The 22,761-nt window shown below is 37.6% G+C and overlaps 1 protein-coding gene across 4 annotated transcripts in view, besides 1 other annotated feature; it reads left to right on the top strand.

Moving 5' to 3' along the window:
* Positions 1–22,761, top strand: part of SGCD (sarcoglycan delta) — a 1,039,957-nt gene that overhangs the window by 453,000 nt on the left and 564,196 nt on the right. The gene's annotated exons all lie outside the window — the stretch shown is intronic.
* Positions 21,038–21,200: a silencer, noted in NCBI's record as "fragment chr5:155628879-155629041 (GRCh37/hg19 assembly coordinates)". NCBI's record gives its function as "represses an EF-1alpha promoter that drives an FKBP-Casp9 reporter gene in an ReSE screen in HepG2 liver carcinoma cells {active_cell/tissue: HepG2}" and the evidence as "EXISTENCE:reporter gene assay evidence [ECO:0000049][PMID:32094911]".

Genomic DNA, 22,761 nt, shown 5'->3' on the forward strand with positions numbered 1-22,761 from the left:
TTAAGGGGAAGGCAAAGGGTAGAACTGCACAAGAGCAAAGGTAATCTCTTAGAGCTGCTCTCAGAATAAATTAAAAATTTGTCTGGATGTGATGATGACTCTGTCTCTTCTCTGCTGTTTGTTCTTTCCTGGTTAATTGATGAGATTCCTAGGGAGATGGTCTTAAGACAAATGCATTTCTTTTGAAAATAAGCTTTCTTAGTGAGATAAAGAAATTCCAGAGTTTCTCTCAGTGCTTTGGGAAGGAGGATCAGAGAGTCAGGGAAGTGAGGAAAGGACAGAGAGAAACCTTGGTTCTGAAGCTTATTTCTGAGGCCTTTCATTTTAAAAGCGCTCAGCATGCCAAAGCACCATATTTTGGAGAATTGTTTTCTGCACCCCAAAAATAGCATCAGAAAACATCTAATAATTAGCAATACAACTAAGGAAAGAGATATATAATCTCAGTGCTGAAAAATGCAAAATATTACTGAGAGTGATTAAGGAAGACCTAAATAAGTGGAAGGCTATACCATGTTCATGGACTAAAAAACTTGCTATCATTAACATACTAATTTTCAAACTGACCCATAGATTTTTCAAATAAAAACAAATCTGAATTTATGTAAAGAGAGACTTTATTCAAAGGGATTATTAAACTAAGGAGAAGGGGACAATTACAATAGAATGAAGGGTACTATTACAATAGGGAGAACTCCCCATTCCTAACATTTGCAACCATCTTAAAGGTCAGGCTTTTCTTTTTATAGCGATGTACAGTAAACAAGGCTAGAAAGGACTAGGTATGGGGCAGTAGGGCTGGCAGTTAAAGTGAGCAAGGTGATGTGATTAGATAATTGTTCAGGAATTTTTTTCCTTTTATAAGTCAGATGATTCTTGGAGGGGCCCTTCATTTGGCATGCAATGCTTGTTTAACCATTACAGCAAGTCAATGGTTAGGAGGCTGGAGGAAGGAAAGAAGCCAGACTCAAGTTTAGTTAAATCCAGTTAGCAGATATTTCATCCAGATTAATCACTAAGTACTAAGAGTTTAGCTAATCATTTATGAGGCAAAGAATGGGAATTTGGAGGATCTGTGACTGAGCATGTCATATGTAAACAAGGAAGGCATCTGGGAGTCTTCTCTAAATCATATGCGAGAGGCTTGTTCTTTGCACTAAGCAATTTCCTGGAACTCAAGGGATGGAGGAGATTTCTTGACCTTTGCTATTTTCTAGGAGCACAGGGCTTTAGGTAAAGTTAACATTGTCAGATTCAATGCAGTCCTAACTAAAATCCCAACAGATACGTTTGTGGAAATTGACACACTGATTCTAAAATTTATATGGAAATGCAGAGCCAGGAATAGTCAAGGCAGTCATGAAGAAAAAAACAAATCTGGAAGACTTAACATTGTAAGATATCAAGACCTTTTATAAAGCTATAGCAATTAAGATTAGAGTATTGGCTAGCTTAGGAGCAGAACAGAAAATAAGCTGGGCTGGGCATGGTGACTCATGTCTGTAATCCCAACACTTGGGAGGCCAAGGTGGGTGGATCACTTGAGTCCAGGAGTATGAGAAAAGCCTTGGTGATGTGGTGAAACCCCATCTCTACAAAAAATCCAAAAATTATCCAGGCATGATGGCACAGGCCTGTAGTCCCAGCTACTCGGGAGGCTGAGGTGGGAAGATCACTTGAGCCCAGTATGGGGAGGTGGCGGTTGCAGTGAGCTGAGATCGTGCAGCTGCACTCCAGCCTGGGTGATAGAGTGAGGCTCTGTGTCAAAAAAAATAAAAAGAACAAGCTAGGGAATCCTGAAACTCATCCATTCATATATGGTCACCTGGTTAATGACTGGTAGAATTATTAAGTTATGGTCTCAATTCTTCATCCCTTTTTGTGTCAGTGCCCATTTACATTGTGACTTTGCAGTTTCTCCCACTAAAGGGTCAGAGTCTCTTTCTTTTGATTCTGAGTTTGGCCATGTGATTTGCCTAGCCAGTGAGGTGTTAGCAAATGTAACATATGCAGAGGATGCAAGAACACTTGTACATTTTCACTTTTACCTTTTTCTCTCTCGGCCATCACTGTGAGGATACACCTTCCTCTTCCTCCTGCTCTTGAGTTTTATCACATTTTTAATGAAATCTGTAACCATATGTGGCCTTTAAAGTAATTATTATAGGCCAGGCATGGTGGCTCATGCCTGTAATCCTAGCACATTGGGAGGCCGAGGTGGGTGGATCACTTGAGGCCAGGAGTTCAAGACCAGCCTGGCCAACACAGTGAAATCCCATCTCTACTAAAATTACAAAAATTGGCTGGGTGTGGTGCTGGAGAAAGATATGTGGAGCAGAGTCATGTTACCCCAGCTGTCCCAGCTAAGACCATTGTCCTAGAGGTGGAAAAATGGAGTGTCTGAAAAGACTTAGGTAGATTTCAAAGGAGCCAAACATTTGAAGAATTAAAGAGGCAAATAGTTTCAAGAAAAGCAAAAAGTTGAAAATAGGATGAGATTGAAATCACAGTACCCCACTTGGCCTAGTAATGAACAATATTTACCTAGTCATAATAATACAATAATAACTATTATTACTAATATTATCTTTTTTGAGACAGAGTCTTGCTTTGTCACCCAGGCTGGATTGCAGTGGTACGATCTCAGTTTACTGCAGCCTTCACCTCCAGGGTTAAAGTGATACTCGTGCCTCAGCCTCCCAAGTAGCTAGGATTACAGGCATGCACCACTATACCTGCCTAATTTTTGTATTTTTAGTAGAGACGAGGTTTCACTGTATTGGCCAGGGTGGTCTCAAACTCCTGGCCTCAAGTGATCTGCCCACCTTGGCTCCCAAACTGCTGAGATTACAGGCGTGAGCCACAGCACCTCATCCATAATAATTGTCTTAAAGGCCACATATGGCTACAAATTTAATTAAAAATGTGATGGAACTCTATCAAGAGGAAGGGGAGAGAAAGTAAGTGGGGGTGGCAGAGTGGCTGGTAATACAAGAGTTCAATCCTCATCTTCTATAGTAGCAAGTCAGTGGATGATAGCTAACTATGAAAAATCAAGAGCAGTAATATAATCATGTTAATTGGAAACACAACAGCAAATACAGATGTACCTCAGCTTTCAGTAGGGTTACATTTTGACAAACACATCATCAGCTGAAAATATTGTAAGTTGAAATGTATTTAATATTCCTAACCTACCAAACATCATAGTTTAGCCTAGCCTACTGTAAACATCCTCAGAACACTTACAGTAGTCTACAGATGGGCCAAAATCATCTAACGTAAAGCCTGTTTTATAATAAAGTGTTGAATATCTCAAATAATTCATTGAATACTATACTGAAAGTGAAAAACATGATAGTATGGGTACTGGAAGTACGGTTTCTGCTGAATGCCTAACGCTTTCACACCATTAGAAAGTCAAAAAATCCTGTTGAACCATCATAAGATGGTGACCATCTGTCCTAGAAGCCACAACTAAAAGAACTGAAAATGTTATCCTGTGAAGTGGGGATATGAGGAAGGCTGACAAGCAGCCAGTTTTTTTTTTTTTTCATTGTAAGCCTTTTTATTAGCTTTTGGATTGTTAAATATATGCAAATAGTACTTGGATAAAATATTTTAAAAAATAATTTAAATAAGATGCTACCCCAATCTGTGCCCTCTCAAACTCCTGATATTGCAATATGCCCTCATATGTTTATTGATTGCTTCTTCCTTGTCCTGTCTTATATTTATGAGACTTCTTAAAACACCTAAAGTAAGGAGTGTATTTCTTAATGAGGCACAATTGATTCAATACAATTGATTTAATACAAACATAAAGAATATCAGTGGTTCCAAAGGTCACCCTACCACCACCTCCTTATTCCCTCCTGCTCTGCTAGTTTGATGGAGCAAGAGTTCATTCATTTTGCCTCTCAGCAGAAGACAAGGACCATGCCAAGATAAGGGCACAGGTGAAATAGTGAGGACCACCAGCCCAAGAGGAGCCAGTTATATCAAATATAACTAAATAACCCAGTGCTGCCTGCTGTTGCCCTGAAGCTGAGATTGGGTCTTGTATATTATTTATCTGGAGCAGCAAATTATAAAAACAATAATCTCACAAAGTAGACTGGGTTTAAGGTGACTATTCCAATATGCAATATTCCTGTGCCCCATTATGAGCCTTCAAAACACCATTCAAGGAACAATGATTCCTTATGGATGCTCACTTTTTACATTTCTTTCCTTTTAAGTCAGTCTCTGAGTTATTTGAATTCTAAAAATAATTGAAATGTTTGTGTTTTGGTTCTAAATGTTCCTTCAGTGGTGATGGTCAGGCAGTAAAATGACTGGCTTTGTTATACTGCATGCGTTTCTCCTTCCTTTAATTTTCTTTTTTTTTTTTTTTTTTTTGAGACAGAGTCTTGCTCTGTTGCCCAGGCTGGAGTGCAGTGGCACAATCTCGGCTCACTGTAAGCTCCGCCTCCCGGGTTCACACCATTCTCCTGTCTCAGCCTCCCGAGTAGCTGGGACTACAGGCGCCCGCCACCATGCCCGGCAAATTTTTTGTATTTTTAGCAGAGACGGGGTTTCACCACGTTAGCCAGGATGGTCTCGATCTCCTGACCTTGTGATCCGCCCGCCTTGGCCTCCCAAAGTGCTGGGATTACAGATGTGAGCCACCGCGCCTGGCCTCTTTTAATTTTTTTAATCCTCTGTATCCCCCTCCTTTTTTCAACTATGAATTGATTAACATCTTTTTCCCTTGATAAGAAATGAAAGACTACAGTTAGTTGTCTGATATGTACAAATTAACTTGAAGTTAAGGATAATCTGGCATCTGACTTTCCCCAAGGAAACCTTGCCAGAAACAGCGTGATTTATTTTTAACACTTTTCACAAAAACCCTCCCCTGTGGGACCTCAACAAATGTCACTTCTGTTGTGAGACTTTTAAAAACAGTGGGCTGTGATTTTTACAAACTTATAAATATGGCCATATATATGTGTGTGTGTATATATATATATATATAGAGAGAGAGAGAGAGAGAGAGAGAGAGAGAGAGAGGGCCATGTCTCCCATATGCTTTCTTTACTGTGTTCATAATTGCTCTGTTTCAGAACTCTTCAGGACTTGGGGTACTTTTGATCTGCACCAAAGATCTGTGATCGGAATAACGAAATATGGTAGAAGCATCCTGTATTAAATTATTCTAATTGGCCACTTTAATGTTTACTAGTGTCATTAGAAGACTTTCCTGGCAAAAAAAAAAATACCTATTTCCAACTTTGTGAGATTTCCTCTAATTTATTAATTTACAAAAACCTGTTGAACCCCTCTTATACCAGGACCTGAACTAAGGAGTGGATTATAATCAAGAGAAACATTCTGGTGCAAAGTGAAGGTAACATATTAATATAAACATGGGGTGACTTCTATATTGAGTTCTAACATATTGAGGTTGTGACTGGTGGGTAGTTGGGGGTGAAGATGGACTGGTTGTAATCTATGTTGATATCTGCTATGATACTGTTGTTGCCATATGGTCTGTTGTCCTTTGAAGATACCGCCAAATCATCCTTCATCCCTACCGTTCAAGTACAGCTTTCTCTCATATCTTCTAAAACCACTTTAGGACACATGAGATCATTCTCCTCCTCAAATATTAGCTAAAGAAAGCATCTATGGCACTCCTAAGACTTTATCTGGTTTTATGCTACTTTTGGGCAAATAGGTGATTGTATTGCTCCTGAGGCATTCTCTGCTTAGCTGCTTAATGCTCTCTCTGCTTACATACACGACTATATGCAACTATGAGTTTTTCCTGGAGTTATGCTGCTTTCTTGGGCTCTAGCCTGGAATTGATATTCTCTGCTGTCCTGTGTCTCCAAGCTAATCTGAACTTGTCACATCTGAACTTGTTTTAAGGCTCCCTTTTCTTCAAGACCCTGAAATCTCTGTTCACTCCTTGCCTCCCCTTTACTTTTCCTCCCAATAAGGAATTTTTATCCAATTTGCTATGTGAAGTATGGGAGTCAGCCAGATAGCTCTGCCTTTTACTCATCCAAAGTTTTCCCAAGTCAATGGCCTTTACTCATGAGTAATATTTGTTCTCTCCTAGGAGAATGTACTAAGTTTTGGAAACTCAAAAGTCAAGAATGTACCTCTTTTTTTCTTTTCATGTTTTTTTTCTACCCTCTAGAAGCAATGAACATAGAAGGGCATCGTCAGTACTTTAATGAGGGAAAGGGGCAATGGGTAAAAGGGTGAGTATTTCAAAATATTTAATCTTACTAGATTAGTTCTACAACAAAACCCAGTATAAACAGGATAATAGAGATAATCATAAACCAAGTTAAATGACCACAGCAGAGAGGAAAAAGATCCTTCATTCTAGGGTGACTGAAGATGGCTTCATGGAGGGCATGGAGTTCTGCTTGGATAATGGGGAATGAATATGATTTCAATAGGATAATGGGAAATGGATATGATTTTAATAGCAGGTTTTTTGATGGAGGAGGGACCAAAAAGGCTTTCTCAGTAAAGAGAATTGCTGAACAAAGGCAAGCCATTTGAGAGGATCTAGGATGTGCAGGAAAACAGTTTTCTTTTGGCTAGAATGTTAAAAGCATTCTGAATAGACATATAGTCTCTAGCCCTCTAGAGGCTTCTGGATTTGAATCTTGAGTCTGACCTTACTAGCTGTGTGACCTTGGGTGAATTCCTTAACCTTTCTCTGCCACAGTTTCCTCATATGTAAACACGAATACTGATAGTACCTGTGGCATGATGTATGAGGATTAGGTGTGTTATAAATGGTAAGGTGCTTACAACAGTGTCTGGGGCTTAGAAAACACTGTTAGCTGCTGTTATAACTTTGTTAGGGAGAAGAGGGGAAAGCTAAGCTAAGGGAGAAAGGGTGGGAAAGACCTTGAATGAGATGAGGATGGAACTGGCCAGAGATGATGTAATGAAAATTCATCTTGGCAAAACTGCTTAATTTAAATCAGTGATTTTCCAACAAAATTCTGTGTAAGACTGACAAAGAAGCTCATTAGAAATGGAATTCCCAGGCTGCTCTCTCCTCCTAGTGATTGTGATCCAGGAGGTACAAGGTATGGTGAGAAATATGTGTTCTTAACAGTGAGGATTCTAAAAGCTAAGATTAGGGTGAGGCAGTGAGGTGCCTAGGGTGCAGAATTCAAGGAGGCTGTCATGTTCGGGGTCATGCTAGTGCAGGGGGGCCTAAGAGTAAGTGTTTCCTTACATTTTATGCCCCAGATGCCTTATTAGCCTTGCCCTGGTCTGAGCTTTGAGATTCTGATGCTGGTGGAGGAAGAAACTCATTCATTCTTTTACTCATTAGACATATTTCCTGAGCACCAGCTGTGTGCCTGGCGTTATTCCAGGTGCTTGGCATACATCATTAAAAACAACTGACAATGATCCTGCCCTTGTGGAGCTCATATTTTAGAGGGACAGTCAAAAAATAATAAACCTAATAACAAAGTAAATTATACATTAGTTAAAAGGTGATAAATACTGTGAGAAAAATAAAAGTAGAGCAGGATAAAGGTAGTGGCTAATACTCGAGATGCTTTGTTTTAAAGGAGGTCTCAGGCTAGTTCTAAGAGAATAATCTCCAGGACCTACTCAAATATAGCAGTAGTGGTGACCTGGAGTTTCCTGTGTTGCAAAAGGCTTCTGAGAGCCTTTCCTTCCTCAGCAGGAAGCATGTTACATGGGCCATTGGTAGTGTCTACTGTTGGGGTTCAAAGACAAATATCTACAAAATATGGCACTTTGACATGCTGAAGAAGCCTCAGTGTCTCTCTGACCACCCCAACCGCCCCCCCCGACACACATACACACAATCCCTCTCTACATGCACAAGATGAAGTTGAAGTTCCTTTATCTGCCCAAGATCCAGACCCACCAAAGAAAACAGTTCTATTTTCGCCTCCTTCTAAGACCGAGAGCGTAACCACATCTGAACAGACCCTTTTACAAATTAATATACAAATTAATCTCTGATCCATTCATTCTCCCTAGTAATTCCCTCAACAGAATTCCTCTTCTCCCCAACCCTATAACCTGTTTTGCTAGGATGGTGTATAAGCTTCTGCACCCTGTTGTAGAGTGGGTAATCACTCTGTGGTTTTCCCAGTGTACACATTACATAAATTTGTGTGCCTTTTCTCCAGTTAATCTGACTTTTAGGAGTTGATTTTTCAGTGAATCTTCAGAGGGCCAGGGGAAGCTTTCGCTTGACTCTCCACCACCATGGGTTCAGCCAGGAAGAAGAGGGTTATAATTTCCTTCTCTTTGCCTCCTTTAACATCCAACAAACCTAACATGTTACCTCTTCTGGCACCTGCCATTAATGCAGCTATGAAGAGTACGTGCTAGTGACACAGATGTTCTGTTTTTTTGGAGGCTGAAAACCTCTGGGGGTTGAAAATGATTCTGTGAGGAAAATCTAAAGGCAAATTGATGGTAAAATGTCACTGAAATGAAAAAGCCAACTGTAATGCTAAAAAAAATTAGTGAAAACAGATAAATTCTATGATCTCCTTAGTATTTGTCCTGCACAAATGTCATGGAATTTTAGAACTGGAAGGGGACCTTAGTGATCATGTAACAAAGCAGATATGAAATGAGAGTTAGGAAATTATGAGTATAAAGATCATTTAATTAAGATAATCTCTTTTGTAAAAAGCGATAAAGGGAGAGAGCCTCTATTACTAAAAACAGGGGACCTCGGCCAAAGGCTTGTCCATCAGAACACATGGCAATTAGATATTTAAAGACAGAAAGTGGAGGAGGCTAAGGGCATGAAAGGACAAGAATAAATCCGGAAAATAAATGAGGCCAAAAAAAGACGTAAAGCATTGAACTTTCAAAGTCTGTTAGATTGTATTTTGTGCTGTTGCTGATGTACAAACAGAAGAACATATCATTGAGAACAGGGCGTATTAAAGCGCCTTGTGACAGGAATTTTTTTTGAACACTATATTAAGTAAATGAGTGACAATTAAAGACTGCTGATTCTGAGGTTGGGAGCACTGGAGAAAAGCATTAGAGGACACCATGTTCTCATTTATTTGGTGGCTATTCATTGGGTAGCAAATAGGTTTCCCTTGAAAGATGTTGACAAATTAGAGCCAGATCTGCAATCTGGATAAACCTATCTCTGGTTGGCTTCCTATTTAATGTTTCTGAAAGACCTACATATGGGCATTTCATTGCATTCTGTTACCTAGAGTGGAATTGGGTGTGTACAGCATTGCATGGGCTGACTAGTTCAGTTAGCCTATCTAAATGGTCACATGGATCTGGGAAGTTTTTTCTTATAATGTAAATCTGCTCCATTAGTAGTAGCAAACTATAAGTCCATACTCAGGCTCAGCCAGAAAGAATGCCATTATCAAGAAAATCATCTAAAGTGTGCTTGGGACCTAGCTGGTGCTTACTAAATATTTGCTAAATAATTCAAAAACTAGTGACCCATCTACCATGTATTTCAGATAGATTCCCCACCACCAAAAAAGGATCTGCCCGGAAGAAAGTCTATCAAACTGCTAATAGTTGTTAACTTGTTTGGAAGGAAATATAATAATAAGGGGCTTGCATGAAGAACAAAGAGGGGTTTTTAAGTTTTGCCCTATGTAATTTATTGACATCTACTTAGGGTAAATGAAAACTTCTCCAAATCAATAATATCTGCTATTATTCCTGCTGTGTACCTGGCATAATTCCAGGTGCTTGGCATACATTAGTGAATAAAATGGACAAAAATATCTACTCTTGTGGAGATTATATTTTAACAGAGGAGACAAAAAATAATAATCGTAATTACTAAGTAAGTTGTATATTATATTAGAGGTAACATGTACCTTTTAATAGGAATAAAGCCAGAGCAGGAAAAAGGTGGTAGTTTCCACTTCAAAGTACCCTATTTTAAAGAAGGACCCATGCCAGCTCTAAGAATTTTCTTCTGCACCATCTAAAATTCATCGGGAGTAGTTACCTGCTATTAACTTCTTTAGAATTTAAAGTCTTATAAAATTAGCTTCTGAGAAAATTTTCTAGAAATAATACCACTTTAAATATATATGATTTGTATATTTTCCATGTAAATAGCATGTACAAAATAAAAGTTCATTGATATTCATAATCTATGAATTAGGCAAACATGTCAAAAGGGGAATTTATTTCAATGTAATGGATTGGAGCTAATATCAGGCCATTATACTGAAATTTATTCCAGTGTAATAGATGGGAACGAAGTGGTGTAAAACTCTTGGTTTTACAGAGTACATGATATCCAGGATGATAACTCAGCATTACCCGGTTCCTAGTATAATAATTAGAGTTACACCTTACAGAGATGAGAAAAGGAGATAATCATACAACTTAATTGAAGATTCCAAAGTTGGAATCTTGAAGACATCAAAGTATAATTCCAGTTCCTCGAATCAAGATGCTAGATTTTTATTAGTTAACTTACAGGTGATTGATCACCAAAGGATGGATTTATTGATATCAGACTCAAAAAAGGTAGACGCATTAAAAGGAGTGTCAATCTGTTCATTCATTATGTGACATCTCTGCAGTTTCTAGGATGACTCTAAGTTATGTTCAGAATGTTAGGTATGTTGTTGGATTGAGCATAAGCCTCCAGGTTTGTAGGATGTTAATTGCATACACCCAATAATTTGTTTTGCATGTCTAGTTCTTTCTTTGTTGCTAGGGTTTCCTTCCCCCTACTACTTATTTCCTTAAGAGAGTACAAGGGAAACAAAACTTTGAGATGTGGGTCGTGTCTCTTTTGTTTCTGAGCTTAGTGGCTATACAGGTGCACTGCTAAAGGCAAGAAGTCACAGATAAAGCTCAAAGAGAGAGACATTCAAGCTGTCAATCTGGATCACAGCTCAGTGGGATGCAACCAATGGGTCTTGGGGCTCAGTGGGAACCAGCCAATCATTTTCACAGTTCAGCTGCAGGAGTGCTTGGCAGGTAATCAGCAGCCACTAGAGAGGTTTGGGATTCCCTAGTTAGGTTTCATCTGTCTCTCTTCTTCAGAAAACTGTTGAAAAGCAAAAACAAAAACAAAAACAAAACCTTATGCTTTAATGCATTCCAAAATGAATCATGATGATTGAGGAAGTTGTCAGGTTATATAAATTATCGAATGAGAAGAAACTTTGGAATGATCCAAGGAGAAAAAGACAATAGTCATCTCCATTTTTCCTCTTTTCCCAGAGATTACTGGTCTGTAAGAAAGGGAAAATTAGGAGACATCGTGACGGTCTATATTTGGGGCTGTTTCTTCCAAAAGGAGTCATCTTATAATCTTATGATAGTGATGCATTTAGATACTTAGTAGATGTCCTGGAAGTGATTTATCAGTGACATTTTAGCGTGCTTAATTAATCAGAAAATTCCAATAATGGACACACACAAAATAGTATTCCAGTATATATATACAAAACATTTTCTTTGTTCAGTAGAACTGGTAATTATTATGTTAAGTGAAATATGCCAGGTACAGAAAGACAAATATCATGTGTTCTCACTCATATGTGAGAGCTAAAAAAGTTGATCTCATGGTGATAGAGAGTAGAATGATAGATACCAAAGGCTGGGAAGTGTATGGGGGTACAGGAGGGGAATGAAGAGAGGTAAGTTAATGGATGCAAACACAGATTGAAGGAATAAGTTCTAACGTTTGACAGTAGAGTAGGGTGACTAGTTAACAGCGTATTATGTATTTCAAAATAGCTAGAAGAGAGAACTTTATTTGTTCTACAATACAAAGAAATGATAAATTCTCAGGGTGATGGTGATGGTTGCCCTAGGTACCCTGACTTGATTATTACACATTCTATGCATGTAACAAAATATCACATGTACCCCATAAATATGTACAAATATTATGTGTCAATAAAAAAAATCTAAAGAAAAAATAATAGGCACACACCTACAAAGGCATTCTGCTGGTTCTGTTAACACAGGAGTGGATGAACTTCTGTAAGAAGCCAGGTGTATATATTTTAGACTTTGTGGCCATGTGGTCTGTGTAGCAACTACTCTGTCATTGTAAAAGCAACAGTAGACCATATGTAAACTAATGAGTCTGGCTGTGTTCCAATAAAATGTGATTCATGGACACCGAAATTTTAATTTCATCTAACTTCTACATGTCACGAAATATTATTTTAATTGTTTTTAACCACTTAAAATTGTGAAGATCATTTTTAGCTGTCAGGCAGTAGTTTGCTGATCACTGTCTAACACAAGCTAATCAACACAATCAACTGGTTTTCTTCATGTAGTCAAAGGCTAATTCTTCAAACATGGTTCTGAAGAAGAGCAGCTGGACTCCTGTGCTTCCAGATTCTTTATCTAAGACTTTCTCAAGTCACTGTTGTTCCGACCCTGCTTACTCTCCTCTTGATTTCCAGCCATACAGGAACGCGTGCTTTTTCCCTGCTTGCCCTGTGGTGTAGCCAAGTCTATATTTGAACAATTAAACTAGACTTCATTCTTTTGTGCAAGTTTCTTTCTTATTTTGAGATAATGGATAATGTAGCTCACAAGCTAGTTTATGTATCTTCAGTTTAGTAACCTCCAAAAGATGCTTGCATTTCTCCTGGCCTCTGTGTGGCAGAAAGCACATTCCTTCTGCACAGCTGATATGTCCTAACATGTCTACCCTCCTTACGGGCCAGACTCATTAGAGGACAGCTAGGTGAGAGAGCATGGTGTGCCCTGGATGAACAGTGTGAGGCCTAGCTTCCACGTCTTGTTACAGGATTCTCCTTTGACCGAAAGGCCAATACCAGAATGTCTGCTCCTGTCAGTGGAGATCTAGCCACCCACTCAGAGAGATGGAACTTCAGTCTTTGATTTGAACAACTAAAAAATTTCTTCCTCTGTACCTATTCTGATTCATCAAGAATGCTTTTCTGGAGCCTTATGCATGTGCGTAGATTTTCAAGTTCGCAAACAGGTTCCATGGAAATGAGTTCAGAGGTTGATTCTGATGGCTGCATGAATGGCAACACTCATGTTGTTGACATCCAAGTCCTGGCCTGCAGCCTCAAGAAACCACTTCTATCAAAAAGTTAAAAGACCAGAGATACTTTCAATTGCAGGTGATGTCATACATAATAAAGACAGACCTTCCTCTGAGCATTTTAAAATTTAAATTTTTAAATAAACTCTGTCATTAGAAGTAAATTATTTGGGCATTTAATACTGTGTAAAAAGGTTGGGTGCTGTGGCTCATGCCTGTAATCCCAGCACTTTGGGATGATGAGGTGGGAAGATCACTTGAGCCCATAAGTTCAGGGCCAGCCTGGGCAACATGGCAAAACCCCATCTCTACCACAAAAAATACAAAAATTAGCTGGGCATGGTGGTATACACTTGTAGCCCCAGGTAAGTGAGAGGCTGAGGTGGGAGGATCTCTTGGGCCTGGGAGGTAGAGGTTGCACTGAGCAGAGATTGCTCCATTGCTCATCAGCCTGAGCGACAGAGCAAGACCCTGTCTCCAAAAAAGAAAAAGAAAAAAGAAAGGAAAAAATACTGTGTAAAAAGGTATATTTAATATGTGAAACTCTGCTACTTTTATTATTGTTGAGAAATTACCAGGCATGTTATAATTTAAATGATATACATTAGGTGGAGAGAAAAACAGTCAATTGTGTTATATTCTATTTTAGGAATTTAAGGTATTTTGCATAGATAAGCTACAGATTAAGTAACAGAATAACAAAACCAATAATTAGAATTTGAATTGATTAATATAATACCTTAAGGTAATTAATATTATAATATAATTGACAAGTAATATAATACCTTAAATTGATGGATAATATGATATAGTACTGTAATATAATAATATAAAACCCTGAAGAATTGAAGTTCCTGTAGAGTTCTGGTTCTGCTTTTACTGTTTGTATGATCTTGGGGAAAATAGTTGAACCTTTTATGGCTCAGTTTCCTAATAGCAAAAATAGGAATTATAACATAAGAACTATAGGATTATGGTGAACAATAAAGCCAGGTATGTATATAATACATATTGAACACATAGTATAATAAGGCTCAGTCAATAATAGCTGTGGCATTGGTGATGATGATGATGATTATGGTGATGAATATAGTCATCAAGTTATGGGGAACACAGAAATAAATCACAGAAACAGACTAAGAAAATATCCATTATTGTCAAATCTTTATGTTCTTTAGGATGTATTTATTTCTCTAACAATGATTTTACTCTGTTTCCATTGTAAATGGTGTTGTCAAAATTATTAACTAGTTGATTAATATCTGGTTTGATCCAGTAACCTCATTTAAACCCTGTGCTAGCCTATTTCACAAAACCATTACTGTGTTCAAAGAGAGAAGACTATTTATTAGTCTTACAGTGTGCTTCCATATGCTTCGCATTAATCATTGTTTAGCTGGGTAAACGTGGGTTTGCATTTTATTCTTGATGCCATTAGAGAAATTAGTGTAAATGAGAAATTTTTATTCTAAAAATTCCTTCAAATATACCACAGGTTTTCACATCTAAATGTTAGATGATATCATTTAACATTCTCTTACTCAGAAGTCAACTTTTTTGTATAATGTTAGAAAATTGTGATGAGTTATTTTTTGTGAATGGAGAATTGGAAAATGCAGGAAAGTGCCAGGAGAATTAAATCATTCAAATCATCCCTCACTATCCAGTAATATCCACTATTAACATGTTAATGTACATGCTTTTTGATTTTTTTCTATGCGTATGGATACATACAGGGTTTTTGTTAGGCTGTTGTCACTCCAAACCTAAACCTGCTCTTCCGTACCTTGCTTTATGATGCTGTGGCTGGGATTGGGCAAACCATCTCCTAGTCTGTTTGTGGTTCCCTGATAGGTCCTGCCTACTGGGCAAGCAAGAGCAAAACTGAAAGATGGCAGGCTAGCAAAGGGAATTACTATTTTGTCTTTGCTTATTAGCCTATCAACTGTAGCTCATCAAGGGCCCTACCACCAGAGGCAGCAGTTGATTCCCGTATCTATTGGTGTCACTTTCCATCTTATTCCCATACTCCCAGAATGAAACTCATGCCACCCGCTCCTGAGAGCTGCAGGTTTCAGCTTGGCAGGACCTCACCCAACCTCTGAAGGCACCAGCATCATCCAAGGAGGGCCCCTTTTCTAAAGTCTAGATCCCAGATCCCTTGGGGCTTCCTTGGAGATTCTTAGTTCTGATAATTCCAACTTCATCCCTTTATTTTCCCAGACCTAGGAGCTGTAGCCACTATATTGGGTCACTACCTCTGTGATGTCTCAATGTTCCCCTTGGCCTGTGCAGTTATATAGCTCTTGATCCACTTCTCTATATTAAATTCCATCTGTTAAAATAATTGAAGGACCCTGGCTAGTATGCCCATATAAAGGGAGGATTCTTGACTTTGTTATTCAATTTTCATCTTGTACTTGAACATTACCCATAAGACCCCAAACTACCTTTAACATACCAAATGCAGCCTTACATATCAGCTGGAGAATAGACATTTCAGACCATAGTATTATCATGCTGTTTGCCAGCCAACTGATTAACCTAGTCAGTATCACAATCTTTGCACATCAGAATTTGTGCAGGTGTTTAATGTTAAAGATATTTGGTCTGCCTTTTATAAAAATGAAGGAAAAAAAAGACAAAAGTTTTGCTACTAATGATTGACCATATTGGTCATGACTTTAATATAATTTGGAAAGGAAGTTTGGAGATCAATAAAGTTGGAGATGTGTCTTTGTCTTTCAACACTAGTGGATATTTGGCCTTAAGCCACCCAGCACTTGTGTTATATAATGAGAGAAAAGAGCAAACATAAATAATGTATACTAAATTCTAGAAATATATTATTAAAGATTGTGTCTTAAAATATTATATATAATTAGGAATCCAACACATATTTTAGTTCTTTGGAAATAAAACCTGCCTTAGCACACTAAACTATGGCCAGAATTGTTTCTTGTACTTAACGCATCCATACACTTTACATTTATCAAAGAAGGAGCTTTCCACAATTTTAAAAATTAAAATGACATATGGACTATGCAGTTCTCCATAATCTGCCTTTGCACTTAGTTTATTAATATTATGAACATCTTTATACTGTTAATCACTCTCCCAGTAAATGCTTCTTAATGGCCATTGCTTATTTAAACAATCTCCTATTGTCAGATATTTATGTTGTTTTTAATTGTCCAATATAAAAATAAAGCATTTGAAACTTTACTGTAAATAAATCTTCGCATATATTCTTAATGATTCCCTTAGAAAATTTGCCATAAAAGTGCCATGGAGGGGTCAAAGAGTATAGAACCCTTTTTTTAGCCTTTTGATGTACACTGCTATATTGCCCTGCATGAATAATGTTCCGTTGACACTGCCACTTGCAGTGAATGAGGACATGCATTTCCCAGCCCTCACGGATTAGTTTGAAACACATATAAATAATTTAAAATATTTCTCACCTAATTCATAGGACTCTCTTGGTTAATTTTTTAAAAAGCATATGTTGAATTACTCCTCCTTCCCACATATTAAATCTCCATTAACTCTTTAGAATTGAATAGTTTTCCTTTTTTTTTTTTTTTGGCTAAACAGCTTGGCCTTTATAGCTCACAGTATTAGGGTTGAAAGAGAGCCAGAGAAGTAAAAGTGATTAATAACAAAGGGAGAGTAGAAAATAATTAACAGCCAAGCAAGAGGATGAAGCACCATATTGTTCAATTAATAAGCCAAGAGTCATCAGAAATTGTGGCTTATATTTGTTCTCTTGCTTACAAATCTTAATTACATGTGATTTTTTTGCCTATTTACTTGGGCATGCTGATTTTTATCTCTCCCAAATTCTTTCTCTTTGATTCATTATTTTGTCCTATTTATTACCTTTTCCTATTGTCAATTAAAAATATGTTTTAATTGACAAATAATGGTATATATTTATGGGGTACAATGTGATGTTTTGATATTTATGTACATATGGAATGATTAAACTATGCTTATTAACATACGTATCCCCTCACCTACTTACGTAATTAGCATAGAGGAGGGAGGAAGCCGGGGTTATCCTGTTTTCTAACCCCAAATATGTTGGCTCTCACTTCTTAGCCTCCTAACATTTCTAAGTTCCTCTCTGCTCCTCTTCATCTTATTCCCTTTGTAAATATAGTGCGAACTTTAAAATTCAGTTAGATATTTCTAATGTTGAGCCATCTATCTGTTCTTTTCTGCCTCTGAACTGTGTTTATTCTTTCTATCTTTCTTAGGACACTATGTATGTCTAGAAGAAACAAAGGAGACATTAAAAAAAGATCTTTTCCAGTAAGGGCAGGTGCAGACCTAGATAAGAAGTCTAGGAGTTCTTGGAGCAAGTCCAAGTAAAAACTTGGCCTTGCAAATATGCTGTATCGATGATTGTTATGTTCACATAGGAAATAAAAATAATGTGTTTTCCTTTCATTTAGTAATAATAATTTACCGAGCACTTGGATTGAGAGACACCATGCTAGGTACTCTGCCTTTATTAATTCACTTAATTATCCCAATAGTCTTATGAAATAGGCACTGTTATAGTCCCTGCTGTGTAGAGAAGGAATCTGAGGCATAGAGTGGTTGGTAACTTAGTGAGCGAGTAGTTGGACTGGGATTTGTATTTAGCCTGACTTCAACATCCTCACTCTTTGCCCTTTACTCTAGCACTCTTAAAAATGGCTCTGTGTGGACCATGGTCCTCCATGTGAAAGAATAGTTTTTCCCTTAGTTGGTTATTAAATTGAATGCTACAGAATTTCTTACTTGGATTGATATGGACAGTGCCAGGAAATCTCTCACAACATCCTTCTTTATTTGAAGTGTGGCAGAGTTGTCTCCTGTGCTTCAAATTTCAGGGACTTGAGACACATTTAGTATAATAGATGTGTTTAGAGTCAGGACTTTCCAGCCAATGGTGGTTTTTATTTTATTATTATTATTATTTGATTTTAGAAATGGAATCTTGCTATGTTGCCTTGGTTGGATTCAAACTCATGGGCTAAAGTGATCCACTCACCTTAGCCTCCCAAGTAGCTGGGATATAGGTGCATGCCAACACACCCAGCTCAATGGTATTTGAATAATTATCTATTCGACATGAAGAAATAAGGTCATATATGCAAAACTCTAGCCCTAAACACATGTAGATACACACACCTACACACATACCTTCGCACCTCAGTGAAGAAAACATCATGAATCTGAACCTTCTGCCTGTAGAGTCTGTACATGGTCTTTAAAGATTTCTCAACACTTAGCTTTAGAGCCATTTCAGTGAATCAAGAGTTCAAATAAAGCTATCTTGCTTTTCCTCAGCTAGTCTAATCACTTCTACATAACAGCAGCAAGTTGATGCCCAAAGAGGTCATTGACTTATTTGCTTTGGCTATTGGCCCCAAATCAGGCATCTGACAATTTTCAACTAAAGAACAAAAATAATGTCTTCTTCACAGAATTGGGAAATAATAAATTCAATCAGGCATGCAAGGCCCTTTACATAGTGCCCTACACATACTTGCCTCTCAGGAAATGGGACTTAAAAGGCAGGTTGCTGTCTCACCAACCTCAAACTCCATTGTTAGTAATGGTAGTAGAAGCAGTACAGAAGAAGGAAAAAGGGACACTGAGATAGGCGTTTGGAGACTCCCTACTCCAAGTCAGACTTCCATCTTTTGGCTTTCTCTGCTTTGGCAAACTACTTCTTCTTGCCTTGATTCCTTCCTTTTTAAAATAATGGCATTAGATTAGCAATAATTTTGAGTGTTTATAGATCATTCACTCACCAAAAATCTATAAACTTCACGGAGGCAGGCTTTTCTCTCAATTTTGCTGCAGCATTTCCAGTGTCAGACATGTATTTGGTGCTTTATTGCTGAATAAATAAATGACTCATCAACTAATAAATTCTGTAGATCTTGCCACCCACCCAGAGAAGCTGTATATTTAAAAAGTTGTGTCCACTCTTAGGGCCTCATGGACTTTAGGTCACTGGGCCTCAGGTTAGGAGTATATCACCTACAAATTTTCTTTTACTTTTAATGTTCTAGGAATCTACTAAAGGCCCTGTTAACATAGTGTGATGTAGAAGAAATCAAAGACACAAATAAATATATTTCTCATACTTATAGCTTGGAAGACTTAATATTGTTAAAATGCTCATACTACACAAAGTGATCCGTGGACTCAGTCCAATCTCTATCACAATTCCAGTGGAATTTTTTGCAGAAAGAGAGAAAACATCATAAAATATATATGAAATCTCAAGGGACCCTGAATAGCCAAAACAATCTAGAAAAAGAACAGAGGTAGAGGACCTTCTCTTCCTTGCTTCAATACATACTGCAAAACAGCAGTAATCAAGATGTTGTGGTACTGGCATAAAGACAGATACATAGACAAATGGAACAGAATAGAGAGACTGGATATGAACCTTTGCATATATGGGCAAATAATTTTTGACAAGTGTGCCAAGACTACACGAAGGGGAAAGCACAGTCTCTTCGATAGATGATGCTGGGAAAACTGGATATACACATGGAAAAGAATGAAGTCACCATTACCTTATAGCATTTAAAAATTAACTCAAAATCAATTGAAGACCTACATTAAAAATGTAAAACTATAAACCTCTCAGAAGAAAACATGGCAGAAAATGTTCAGGACATTGGAATTGGCAATGATTTCTTAAATATGAAACCCAAAGCACAGGCAACAAGAGAAATTGGAACCCATTATGCAAACTAGTATGGAGGCTCCTCAAAAAGCCAAATATTTAATTACCATGTTATGATTCAGCAATCCCACTTCTGAGTATATATCGCAAAGAATTCAAAGCAGAATCTCAAAGACATATTCACACACCTATGTTCTTTGTAGTTTTATTCACAATAGCTGATACGTGAAAGCAACCCAGATGTCCATCGACAGATGAATAGATAAGCAAAATGCAGTAGAGACATACAGTGGAATATTATGCAGCTTTAAAACAGGAAGGACATCCTCTTACATGTGTTGTAATATGGATGAACGTCGAGGACATTATGCTAAGCAAAATAAGCCAATCACAAAAGGACAAAAAAGTACTGCATGATTCCATTTAGACATGAAATATCTAAAATAGTCAGAATCATAGAAAGTAGAAAGATGATTGCTGAGGGCTGAGGCAGGGAGAAGGAATTATTGATTGATGGGCGTAGAGTTTCAACTTTGCAAAATAAAAAGTTCCAAAGATCTGTTGCACAACAATGTGAATACATTTAACGCTACTGAACTGTGTACATAAAACAGTAAATTTAATGCTATGTAGGTTTTTAACACAATAAAAAAGTAAATAAAATGGTATAATGGAGCATGACACTCAAGTACACAATGACATATATCACTGTTATTTTTAAAACAGTATGTTTGATATTTTGAAAAACTGAGGAACAGAAAGTATCATCTTTGTGCAAGCTGTAGCCCAGAACATGCTTTCAGTAAACATGCTGACATCTTTCTTCACTCCCACTGTAGCAATGAGCAAAGCTGCCATCATAACACAATGTCAAGATGTCTTACGTTGACATTAAAGTGTAACCATAGGAGGTTTTGGTTGGAGGCCCACGGTTTAACAGAGAAACCAGTTTATGGCAAATTTGCCAACATCATAGGACCATGGACATTGCAAATGAGTCCAGTCTAGGAGGTAAAGCAATGAGTGTTTCCTAAGGGGAAAATGTGTTACTAAAATCAAATTAAAATCGAATGAATGCCTCATGCTGCAGGAGGGAAGAGGACAAGCCCATAATTCCCTAGTTTTTTTTTTTTTAATCTAATAAGTGCTTTATCACTTTCAGTTTTCTCAGCTCGAGCCAGGGATATTTTGGAGTTATTATGACATTTGAAAGAATGCTGAGTTTTTGATCTTGTCAGGACTGAAAGTGCTTTATAAATGTCAGAGTTGGTGTGTGGGAATCTAGGGCACAGCTCCAGTGTGTACCTTGTGAGTCAGCTAATGAGGCCACAGGAGAGCAGCCATCTGAGCAGCTCCCTGAGTGGTCCTGACTTCCAAAACAGCTTTCTGGTCTGCTCAGCAAAAGAGTTTCACGTTGTTGTTGTTGTTGAATTGCGAATGAGTATTCAGGTTTAGATTAAGTCATTCCCAGAACTCTCATTGAAAACATTTCTAATACTCTGGTTGCCTCTTTGTTGGAGGGAAGATAACCCACAGGGGGTTCTTTCTTGGCCTTTGCCGTTAAAGTGATCTCTCCATTGATTGTGGCCCCACTCACCACTTAACTCCTCCTGGATGGTTTCCTTAAACTGGATTATTATTCTTTGACTCATCAGAATTTAGCAATGTTCTCAGTGTAATTCACAGTATGTAATAGTAGGCTTTACATAAATACTTACTCAGTGAATGAATAGAAGCCAGACTGTTTTACAATTTTAAATTTGGCCATGATTCTGATGTTGCTTATATGGCCTCTGATTAAATGGGTCTGAGCTTCACTACGGCCTGTGAGATTATTGAAAGAGGTGTTAGGCTAATGATAAGCCTTGCAGTTGTTATAGTTTGTTTTTAGCACTGAGATTTCTTGACCCTCAATGATCAAAGAAACTAAGGCCATAGAGAAGCATTCATACTGGAAGAGACAGTCAAAGTCTCTTCTAAAGCATTTCATTTAGAGAAAAGTTATTGGTTCCAAATAAGGTGACAGCTCCCAGGTTTTGAAGATGTAGATCAACTGACTGCTTCATGTAGGGTCTCACAGGGGTGTCAGAATCAAGGCACAATGGAGAGTACTCAGTGTGTTCATGAAAACGCAGTGGAGTAGCAGAGGTTCCTTTTTTTTTTTTTTTTTTTCAATTAAAAAGACTGCAGTTTAAACCTGATTGGAGTTAATGCAGTTGGGCATGGACAGGGAGGTACCCTGTTTCTGTATGCCTCTTGTGACATAACAGTGTTTCCCAAAGTGAATTCTAGGTAAGGCTGATTGTAAAGGTTTTAATTTTCTACAAAAATTGAATTTTCATAGGCAAGCAAGTTTGAGAAATACAGGTTTTAACAAAGTAAGAATTATTAAAGCTTTGATATACTTACATGCCTTGAGACTCTGTCAGATTTGAAAGGATGCATCATATCCCAAAGATTTTAATCATAAAACTTTTTAAATTAAGAATATCCCAGAATTAGTGTTTTATAGAAGCCATGTGGGGAAACTATACTCTATAATTTGGAATGCAAATCCACATGTACTTTTCATTAGTGCCTCTATTTGCTGTGGCATTTTCTGTATCATTTGTTCAATTATGTTATATCTGTATCCTCTTTTTGCAAATCTTTAACTATTTGGATATTAAACCTAGATTGTAGGGACTTACAATTTAAATTCTTCAAGATCACCATAAGAATGAAGACCACAACATAACAGTATTTTCTATTGACTGCGCAAATAACAAACTACAAAGGCATTGTTCCTATGTAGTTCGATATTTGAGATTGATGAATAGTGGCATCAAAGGATAGGTTTTGAGACATGTACTTGATTGCTTGCATGGCTATATCATTACATATTCTTAGAATTATAAAGGTATTTAATGATTGTATGTCCCGACCACTTATTCATTTATTCTTTCATCCCACATTTACTGAACTGTATTACTATGTTCCTGACACTGTGCTT

This window comes from Homo sapiens, chromosome 5, assembly GCF_000001405.40.
Source record: "Homo sapiens chromosome 5, GRCh38.p14 Primary Assembly".
NCBI classification, from domain to species: Eukaryota; Metazoa; Chordata; class Mammalia; order Primates; family Hominidae; genus Homo; species Homo sapiens.